Raw genomic sequence first — 11796 nt, forward strand, 5'->3', positions numbered from 1 at the left:
TTTATTTTTGGAGAACACTGTCTTGCTATGTTGTCCAGGCTGAATTGCAGCAGCTATTAATAGGCACAATCATAGCACACTACAGCCCCACACTATTAACCTCAAGCAATCCTCACACCTCATCCTCCTCAGTAGCTGGGACCACAGACATGTGTCACCGTTGCTGGCTTTATTGTCAATTTTAGCATTGTTTTATGTTTGTAGTTTCTTTGTTACTTTATTCCTCTCTTGCTGTCTTCCTTCATACTTTAATGATTTTTTTTGTAGTGGTATGTTTTTATTTCTTTCTCTTTATCTTTTATGTATCTACTAGAGCTTTTCTTTTTGTTGTTACCATCAGGCTTATATAAAACATCTTAAGGTTATAACAGTCTATTTTAAGCTGAAAGCAACCTAACTTAAACCACATATAAAAACTCTACAATAAAGGATTGAGGGCCTGATGGGTAGTTTTTGGGTCATGGGACACCAACCTCATAAATGATTAATGCTGTTATCATGGAAGTGTGTTCATTGTTGTGGGAATGGGATACTTATAAAATGACAAATTTGACCGATGGCTGAAGATGGCCGAATAGGAACAGCTCCAGTCTGCAGCTCCCAGTGTCATTGATGCAGAAGTTGGGTGATTTCTGCATTTCCAGCTGAGGTAACTGGTTCATCTCACTGGGCCTGATTGGACAGTGAGTGCAGCCCATGGAGGGTGAGCCGAAGCAGGGTGGGGCATCACCTTAACTGGGAAGTGCAAGGGGTCAGGGAATTTCCCTTTCCTAGCCAAGGGAAGCCGTGACAGACTGTACCTGGAAAAACGGGACACTCCCACCCAAATACTGCATTTTTCCCACAGTCTTAGCAACCGGCAGTCTAGGAGATTCTCTCCCGTGCCTGGCTCGGTGAGTCCCACACACATGGAGCCTTGCTCACTGCTAGTGCAGCAGTTTGAGATCGACCTGCAAGGCTGCAGCCTTGCTGGGGGAGGGGCACCTGCCATTGCTGAGGCTTTACTAGGTAAACAAAGTGTCCGGGAAGCTCAAACTGGGTGGAGCCCACCACAGCTCAGCAAGGCCTACTGCCTTTATAGAATCCACCTCTGTGGGCAGGGCGTAGCTAAACAAAAGGCAGCAGACAACTTCTGCAAACTTAAACATCCCTGTCTGACAGAACTGAAGAGAGCAGTGGTTCTCCCAGTATGGCATTTGAGCTCTGAGAACAGACAGACTGCCTCCTCATGTGGGTCCCTGACTGCGGTGTAGCCTAACTGGGAGACACCTCCCAGTAGGGGCCAATAGACACATCATATAGGCGGCTTCCCTCTGGGACGAAGCTTCCAGAGGAAAAATCAGGGAGCAATATGTGGTGTTCTGCAATATCTACTGTTCTGCAGCCTCTGCTGGTGATACCCAGGCAAACGGGCTGGATGGACCTCCAGAAAACTCCAACAGACCTGCAGCTGAGGGACCTGACTGTTAGAAGGAAAACTAGCAAACAGAAAGAAATAACATCAATATCAACAAAAAGGACATCCACATAAAAACCCCATCTGTAGATAACCAACATCAAAGACCAAACGTAGCCCCACATGCCCAGCAGGCATGAGTGCCATGGCCTGGCTCCCACAGGGCTATGCCAAGCCAGGTGAGCCCCCGCAGCACCCAGGCATGGGCCTGGGCTGCCACTGCTACTGCCACCAGGCGTGGCATTTTTATTCAGGCGACGCTTAAGGGAGTCCGGCCGTGCCCGGTGCATTGTGGGAGCGGCCCGCAGCCCGTTTTTGGGAGGAGGCGGAGGGTGCAAAGCCAGCCGGTGGATCCATAAAGAACCCAGCCAACCCACAGAGGGAGGGGAGGGGCTGAGCTGTGAGGAGAGCGGGGCCCAAGAACCATGTCTAAGCGGGAGTCCTTTAACCTGGAAAGTTATGAATTGGACAAAAGCTTCTGGCTAACCAGATTCACTGAACTGAAGGGCACAGGTTGCAAAGTGCCCCAAGATGTCTTGCAAAAATTGCTGGAATCTTTACAGGAGAACCACTTCCAAGAAGATGAGCAGTTTCTGGGAGCCGTTATGCCAAGGCTTCGCATTGGAATGGATACTTGTGCCATTCCTTTGAGGCATGGTGGGCTTTCCTTGGTTCAAACCACAGATTACATTTACCCGATCGTAGACGACCCTTACATGATGGGCAGGATAGCATGTGCCAATGTCCTCAGTGACCTCTATGCAATGGGGGTCACAGAATGTGACAATATGCTGATGCTCCTTGGAGTCAGTAATAAAATGACCGACAGGGAAAGGGATAAAGTGATGCCTCTGATTATCCAAAGTTTTAAAGATGCAGCTGAGGAAGCAGGAATGTCTGTAATGGTCAGCCAAACAGTACTAAATCCCTGGATTGTCCTGGGAGGAGTCACTACCACTGTCTTCCAGCCCAATGAATTTATCATGCCAGACAATGCAGTGCCAGGGGACGTGCTGGTGTTGACAAAACCCCTGGGGACACAGGTGGCAGTGGCTGTGCACCAGTGGCTGGATATTCCTTAGAAATGGAATAAGATTAAGCTAGTGGTCACCGAAGATGTAGAGCTGGCCAACCAGGAGGCGATGATGAACATGGTGAGGCTCAACAGGACAGCTGCAGGACTCATGCACACGTTCAATGCCCACATGGCCACTGACATCACGGGCTTCGGGATTTTGGGCCACGTGCAGAACCTAGCCAAGCAGCAGAGGAACGAGGTGTCGTTTGTAATTCACAACCTCCTGGTGCTGGCCAAGATGGCTGCGGTGAGCAAGGCCTGCGGAAACATGTTCAGCCTCATGCATGGGACCTGCCCGGAGACCTCAGGCGGCCTTCTGATCTGTTTACCATGTCAGCAAGCAGCTCGGTTCTGTGCAGAGATAAAGTCCCCCAAATATAGTGAAGGCCACCAAGCATGGATTATTGGGATTGTAGAGAAGGGCAACCACACAGCCAGAATCATAGACAAACCCCAGATCATCAAGGTTGCACCACAAGTGGCCACTCAAAATGTGAATCTCACACCCGGGGCCACATCTTAATCTAGACAGAAATAGCTGTTTGGTTTTGTTTTTAAATAGATCTATTTCCCTTATCACTTCAACTAAAGACTATAAACAACAAAAATCTCATTGTGTCTACACATCGGGGTGACCTTAGGTCAGTTTGTAAGTGGATACAATTAATAAAATAAAATCCACTGCCTTTTTTTCCTGTTACATTAACTGAAGATGCACCTAATCTTGAGGCAGCTTCTGAATTGAGAATTATATTGTTATCCAATGCTGTTGATTCATTTTGAATCTTTAGACACTTATCTCTTGCCGCATAGGCTCTTTTTAAAGGTGCTTTCACATAGCACAGACATTACCAGTAGTCATGTCAAATCGCAGTTGGTGTCTTCATTTTATGTATATTTATCAAGTAAGTCTGATTTTTTTATTAAGCATCTTGAATGGTTTTCTGGAGAGACAGCATTGGTAAGTGGCACATGATGGTATCCCAGTCATAAGAGGGTTGCATGATTCCTTTGAGTGTTTGATTTGAAAAGCCTAGTCTTGTCTCTCAAGAGCATCTCGGATCCAGAACATTCTCCAGTAGTGCATTCAGTTCAACACAGCAAGTGCTTCACTGCATGGAAAACATTTTGAAGACAAAAAAATCTTATATCTTTTTTTGTAGCCTTCCTGATATTTACAGTAATACGATTAACTGTTTTATCGATAGCAAAAAAGGATACTTTTTGCAATGTAATTAGATGTTCTATAGTGCTACAAGGAATTGCCTTCCAAATGGAGGTTCATGTATAATACTCATTTACAATTCAATATATAATTATGCAAATAATTTTTAAATATAATGAATAATAAAGACTGTTCTGTGGATGGTAGTGTTTAATACATTTTATATTTTGTATAGTGATTTCAGGCCTTTTATTTTCTTAAAATCAGTAGCTATTTGGCCTAATTCTTAGCACTATTTTGTCCTTTGCGCCAGTACTTTTTTGTGCATGCTTTTTGTGATCTGTGTTAAAAACCTGCATTGCCAACATTGCAGCTCGAACTTAAACTTGTTATTCAAATAAATATTTAATTTTTTTAAATTGCTCTTGCATAAAAAAAAAGACCAAAGGTAGATAAAACCACAAAGACGGTGAGAAACCAGAGCAGAAAAGCTGAAAATTCTAAAAACAAGAGTGCCTTTTCTCCTCCAAAGGATCGCAACTCCTCGCCAGCAATGGAACAAAGCTGTATGGAGAATGACTTTGACGAGTTGACAAAAGTAGCCTTCAGAAGGTCAGTAATAACAAACTTTTCTGACCTAAAGGAGAATGTTCTAGCCCATTGGAAGGAAGCAAAAAACCTTGAGAAAAAGGTTAGACGAATGGCCAACTAGAATAAACAGTGTAGAGAAGACCTTAAATGACCTGATGGAGCTGAAAACCATGGCACAAGAACTTCGTGATGGATGCACAAGCTTCAATAGCCGATTCAATCAAGTAGAAGAAATGGTATCAGTGATTGAAGATCAAATTAATGAAATAAAGCAAGAAGACAAGTTTAGAGAAAAAAGAGTAAAAAGAAACAGACAAAGCCTCCAAGAAATATGGGACTATGTGAAAAGACCAAACCTATGTTTGATTGGTGTACCTGAAAGTGACGGGGAGAATGGAACCAAGTTGGAAAACACTATTCAGGATTATAAGCCAGAAGAACTTCCCCAACATAGCAAGGCAGGCCAACATTCAAATTCAGGAAAAACACAGAACACCACAAAGCTACTCCTCGAGAAGAGCAAACCCAAGACACATAATTGTCAGATTCACCAAGGTTGAAATGAAGGAAAAAATGTTAAGCAAAGCCAGAGAGAAAAGTCGGGTTACCCACAAAAGGAAACCCATCAGACTAACAGTGGATATATCTACAGAAACCCTACAAGCCAGAAGAGAGTGGGGGCCAATATTCAACATCCTTAAAGAAAAGAATTTTCAACCAAGAATTTCATATCCAGCCACACTAACCTTCTTAAGGGAAGGAGAAATAAAATCCTTTACAGACAAGCAAATGCTGACAGATTTTGTCACCACCAGACGTGCCTTACAAGAGCTCCTGAAGGAAGCACTAAACATGGAAAGGAAAAACCGGTACCAGCCAGTGCAAAAACATGCCAAATTGTAAAGACCATTGATACTATGAAGAAACTGCATCAATTAATGGGCAAAATAACCAGCTAACATCATAATGGCAAGATCAAATTCAAACATAACAATATTAACCTTAAATGTAAATGGGCTAAATGCCCCAATTAAAATACAGAGACTGTCAACTTGGATAAAAAGTCAAGACCCATCAGTGTGCTGTATTCAGGAGACCCATCTCACGTGCAGAGATGCACATAGGCTCAAAATAAAGGGATGGAGGAAGATCTACCAAGCAAATGGGAAGCAACAAAAAGTAGGGGTTGCAATCCTAGTCTCTGATGAAAACGGAATATTAAACCAACAAAGATGAAAAGAGACAAAGAAGGCCATTACATAATGGTAAAGGGATCAAGTCAACAATGAGAGCTAACTATCCTAAATATATATGCACCCAATACAGGAGCACCCAGATTCATAAAGCAAGTCCTTAGAGACCTACAAAGAGACTTAGACTCCCACACAATAATAATGGGAGACTTTAACACCCCACTGTCAATATTAGACAGATCAATGAGACAGAAGGTTAAAAAGGATATCCAAAACCTGAACCCAGCTCTGCACCAGGCAGACCTAATAGACATCTACAAAACTCTCCACCAAAACTCAACAGAATATGCATTCTTCTTAGCACCACATCGCACTTATTCTAAAATTGACCACATAATTGGAAGTAAAGCACTCCTCAGCAAATGTAAAAGAAAAGAAATCACCACAAACAGTCTCTCAGACCACAGTGCAATCAAATTAGAACTCAGGATTAAAAAACTCACTCAAAACCACACAACTACATAGAAACTGAACAACCTGCTCCTGAATGAATGCTAGGTACATAATGAAATGAAGACAGAAATAAATATGTTCTTTGAAACCAATGAGAACAAAGACACAACGTACCAGAATCTCTGAGACACATTTAAAGCAGTGTGTAGAGGGAAATTTACAGCACTAAATGCCCACAAGAGAAAGCAGGAAAGATCTAAAATCAACACCCTAACATCACAATTAAAGGAACAAGAGAAGCAAGAGCAAACAAATTCAAAGCTAGCAGAAGGCGATAAATAACTAAGAACAGAGCAGAACCAAAGGAGATTAAAAAAAAAAACCTTCAAAAGAGAAGAATCAAATAGACACAATAAGAAATGATAAAGGGGATATCACCACTGATCCCACAGAAATACAAACTACCATCAGAGAATACTGTAAACACCTCTATGCAAATAAACTAGAAAACCTAGAAGAAATGGATAAATTCCTGGCCACATACAACCTCCCAAGACTAAACAAGAAAGAAGTTGAATATCTGAATAGACCAATAACAGGTTCTAAAACTGAGGCAATAATTAATAGCCTACCAACAAAAAAGTCCAGGACCAGACAGATTCACAGCCAAATTCTACCAGAGGTAAAAAGAGGAGCTGCTACCATTCCTTCCGAAACTATTCCGATAAATAGAAAAAGAGGGAATCCTCCCTAACTCATTTTATGAGGCCAGCATCATCCTAATAGCAAAGCCTGGCACTGACAAAACAAAAACAGAGAATTTTAGGCCAATATCCATGATGAACATCAATGCAGAAATCCTCAATAAAATACTGGCAAACCGAATCCAGCAGCACATCAAAAAGCTTATCCTCCACAATCAAGATGGCTTCATCCCTGGGATGCAAGGCTGGTTCAACATATGCAAATCAATAAACATAATCCATCACATAAACAGAACCAATGACAAAATCCACGTTTATCTCAATAGATGCAGATAAGGGCTTTGACAAAATTCAACGGCCCTTCATGCTAAAAACTCAATAAACTAGGTTTTGATGGAACATATCTCAAAATAATAAGAGCTATTTATGACAAACCCACAGGCAATACCATACTGAATGGGCAAAAACTGGAAGCATTCCCTCTGAAACCCAGCACAAGACCAGGATGCCCTCTCTCACCACTCCTATTCAACACAGTGTTGAAAGTTCTGGCTAGGGCAATCAGGCAAGAGAAAGAAATAAAGGGTATTGAATTAGGAAGAGAAGATGTCAAATTGTCTCTGTTTGCAGATGACATTATTATATATTTAGAAAACCCCATCATCTAGCCCAAAATCTCCTTAAGCTGATAAGCAACTTCAGCAGAGTCTCAGAATACAAAATCAATGTGCAAAAATCACAAGCATTCTTATACACAATTAATAGACAGAGAGCCAAATTCACCACTAACAGACAGAGAGCTAAATCATGAGTGAACTCCCTTTCACAATTGCTACAAAGAGAATAAAATACCTAGGAATCCAACTTTCAAGGGATGTGAAGGACCTCTTCAAGGAGAACTATAAAACACTGCTCATCAAAATAAAAGAGGACACAAACAAATGGAAGAATATTCCGTGCTCATGCATAGGAAGAATCAATATCGTGAAAATGGCCATACTGCCCAAGGTAATTTATAGATTCAATGCCATTACCATCAAGCTACCAATGACTTTCTTCACAGAATTGGAAAAAACTACTTTAAAGTTCATATGGAACCAAAAAAGAGTCCACATTACCAAGACAATCCTAAGCAAAAAGAACAAAACTGGAGGCATCATGCTACCTGACTTCAAACTATACTATAAGACTACAGTAACCAAAACAGCATGGTAATGGTACCAAAACAGATATATAGAACAATGGAACAGAACAGAGGCCTCAGAAATAACACCACACATCTACAACCATCTGATCTTTGATGAAACTGACAAAAACGAGAAATGGGGAAAGGATTCCCTATTTAATAAATGGTGCTGGGAAAACTGGCTAGCCATATGTAGAAAGCTGAAAGTAGATCCCATCCTTACACCATATGCAAAAATTAACTCAAGATGGATTAAAGACTTAAATGTTAGACCTAACACCATAAAAACCCTAGAAGAAAACCTAGGCAATACCATTCAGGACATAGGCATGGGCAAAGACTTCATGAGTAAAACACCAAAAGCAAAGGCAATAAAAGTCAAAATTGACAAATGGGATCTAATTAAACTAAAGAGCTTCTGCACAGCAAAAGAAACTACCATCAGAGTGAACAGACAACCTACAGAATGGGAGAAAATCTTTGCAATCTACCCATCTGACAAAAGACTAATAACCAGAATCTACAAAGAACTTAAACAAATTTACAAGAAAAAAAAACCCCATCAAAAAGTAGGCAAAGGATATGAACAGACACTTCTCAAAAGAAGACATTTATGCAGCCAACAGACATGAAAAAAGCTCATCGTCCCTGGTCATCAGAGAAATGCAAATCAAAACCACAATAAGATACCATCTCACGCCAGTTAGAATGGTGATCATTAAAAAGCCAGGAAACAACAGATGCTGGAGAGGATGCGGAGAAATAGGAATGCTTTTACACTGTTGGTGGGAGTGTAAATTAGTTCAACTATTGTGGAAGACAGTGTGGTGATTCCTTAAGGATCTAGAACTAGAAATACCATTTGACCCAGCAATCCCATTACTGGGTATATACCCAAAGGATTATAAATCATGCTACTCTAAGGTCACATGCACATGTATATTTATTCCAGCACTATTCACAATAGCAAACAGTTGGAACCAACCCAAATGTCCATCAATGATAGACTGGATTAAGAAAACCTGGCACATATACACCATGGAATACTAAGCAGCTATAAAAAGGATGAGTTCATGTCATTTGCAGGGACATGAATGAAGCTGGAAACCATCATTCTAAGCAAACTGTCACAAGGAGAGAAAACCAAACACCACATGTTCTCACTCATAGGTGGGAGTTGAACAACGAGAACACATGGACACAGGGTGGGGACCATCACATACCAGAGCCTGTTAGTGGGTGGGAGGCTGGGGGAGGGCTAGCATTAGGAGAAATACCTAATGTAAATGACACGTTGATGGGTGCAGCAAACCAACATGGCACATGTATACCTCTGTAACAAACCTGCATGTTGTGCACATGTACCCTAGAACTTAAAGTATAATAATAATAAAAAAAGAAATATATTTGTTCTTTTCATTTCTGAAGGACAGCTTTTCCTGTCATAGTGTCTTGATTGGCAGGTTTTTTTTTCATGACTTAAATATATTATTCCACTCTCTCGGCCTGCAAGTTTTCTGCTAAGAATTCACAGATAACCTTATGAAGATTCCCTTGCATGAGATTAGTCTGTTTTTTCTTGCTGCTTTCAAAATTATGTCTTTTTCTTTGACTTTTGACAATTTGATTATAATGTGTCTATATATAATCTTCTTTGGGTTTATTTTGCTTGAAAGTCTTTAAGCTTCATGAGTCTGGATATTTATATCTTTCCTAAGATTTGAGAATTTTCTACCTTTATTTGTTTGCATAAGCTTTCTTGCTATTTCTCTCTCTCCCTCCCTCCTCCCCCACCTTCTTAGAATCTGATAATGCATATTTTTATTCACTTGATGGTGTCCCTTAGGTCTCATAGGGACATTCACTCTTTTTTATTCTTTTTTTTATTTTTTGTTCCTTTAACTGACTAATTTCTTGAACTACTGACCTCAGGTGATCTACCTGCCTCAGCCTTTCAAAATGCTGAGACAACAGGTATAAGCCTCCACACCTGGCTAACTGGCTTATTTCAAATGACTCGTCTTTGAACTGACTGCTTGAGTCTGCTGTTGAAGCTTTATTCTGTTTGCGTCTTCTGTCGAAGCTCTCTATTGAATTTTTTCCTTCTTTCCTTGTATTCTTCAGCTTCAGGACTTCTTTTTAGTTCTTTTTTAAGGTTTCTATTTCTTTATTAAACTTCTCTTTTTTCATGCATTGTTTTCCTGGTTTTGTGTAGTTGTTTATCTGTCATCTTACATCTCATTGAGCTTCTTTAAATGACGATTTTGAATCCTTTGCCAGGTATTTCATATATCTACATTTCCTTGGGGTTGATTACTGGAGCTTTATTAGTCTCCTGTGGTGGTGTCATGTGTGCCTGATTTTTTTAAAATCCATGTAGCCTCATATTGATGTCTATACATTTGAATGCACAAACATCTCTTTCAGTCTTTACTGACTGGCTTTGGCAGGTAAAGACCTTTTCCTGTTGGATCCCCAAGCTTATGGAATTGCCATCTAGATTGCAGTGAAACAGTCTTGGAGCTGAGTCACATGGCTGTTGCTGGGTGCCCAGCAGGTCTGCAGTTGGTGTGTCTGTTAACAGAGTCTCAGACTAATGTAGATTCTGTCTAGCTCCTATGGACTGAACTACCTTCAGGACCTTCATCAATAGAGCTAGCTCTGGTTAAAGTGTCCACTTCAGTGTCTTTAGACAGTGGACTTGTTACCAGGTGGTATAAATGAGTGTGGTTTCCACTGAATCATTGGGAGGGCTCTTATCAATTTACTGGCCAGGTCCCTGGGCAGGAAGGACAGGCCACATATCATGGCTGAGAGGAGCTGAAACCAAGTCATAGGGCTACTTCAGGGTCCACAGCTGAGAATGAGGTCTGCAAACCTGACTCCAGGGGCATGGACAGGTATGCATCCTCCTGGGTGGGAAGGCAGGACTACTCCTAATTTTATCTGAGTGAACCTGGATCTTTGTCTCAGGGCTGCTTCAGAATCTGCAGTCAGAACAAAATTAGTAGGCCTACCACCCAGGACATGGATGGGCATGTTACCCAACAAATCCCTGAGTGGGAAGGACTACTCCTGGACCATGATTGGGAAGGGGTAGAACTGAGTTACAGTGCTGCCTCATGATCCACAGTCAGACTGAGCTTGGCAAACCTGCCTCCAGTAGCACAAATGGATGTGTCTACTGGTGGATACCTGGAAAGGCAGAAATATGCTCAGACCACAGTTAGGAAGAGCTGGAACTGAGTTACAGGACTGTTTCAGAATCTGCTATGGGACTGAATTTAGCAGACCTGCTTCTAAGGGTGTGGATGGGCATGTATCACAGCATATTCATGTGCGGGCAGAACTGTTGCCCAATCACATCTGAGAGGGGATGGAGGCAGGTCATGGATCCTTTCAGGGTCCATATCCAGGACCAAGGTTAGCAGGCCTATTACCTAAAACATGGTGTAGGCATGACTCCTCTTGGGTTTCTTGGCATATGGATTGGGTGGCAGATCCAAGACTAAACAGGACTGTAGCTGAGTCCACAGGGGGCAACAATGTTTCTAGGTCTGTAGCCAGGACTGTGGTAGGCAAGCCTTCCACCTGGGCACAGGCCTGCCTTCTCACAATGGTCCTCCTTGGCCTTGTGCTCCACCAAGATTTTGCAACTTCCTACCTGGATCCCAAAGCTTCCACAAAGGCACTTTTGTTTGTGGATAGTTCCCAAATTATTGTTGTTGTGGAAGGATATAAGGGGGGATACCTGTTATTCTGCCGTCTTGTTCTCACATAGCTTCTTAACATACCAAACTCTGTAAAGCATGCTTACTACTTCTCTATGAAAGTCACCAGTTAAAATTCTGGAAAGGACAGGGCTTTGAAGAATAAAGCCTCAGGACAGTACTATGGAACATCATCAGAACACTCTTTACACTTTTGTAATAATTTCTTAATCAGAACACTTAACATAGAGAACTCTAAA

At 41.5% G+C, this 11796-nt stretch overlaps 1 pseudogene, besides 1 other annotated feature; it reads left to right on the forward strand.

The window, feature by feature from the left end:
* Nucleotides 448-1333: an enhancer, noted in NCBI's record as "H3K4me1 hESC enhancer chrX:72987649-72988534 (GRCh37/hg19 assembly coordinates)". NCBI's record gives its function as "activates a minimal SCP1, AML or CMV promoter by ChIP-STARR-seq in primed H9 embryonic stem cells {active_cell/tissue: H9 hESC(primed)}" and the evidence as "EXISTENCE:reporter gene assay evidence [ECO:0000049][PMID:30033119]".
* On the forward strand, nt 1684-3254 carry SEPHS1P4 (selenophosphate synthetase 1 pseudogene 4; annotated as a pseudogene).
* The last annotated feature ends 8542 nt before the right edge of the window (nt 3255-11796 follow it).

Source organism: Homo sapiens, chromosome X (genome assembly GCF_000001405.40).
Source record: "Homo sapiens chromosome X, GRCh38.p14 Primary Assembly".
Classification (NCBI taxonomy): domain Eukaryota; kingdom Metazoa; phylum Chordata; class Mammalia; order Primates; family Hominidae; genus Homo; species Homo sapiens.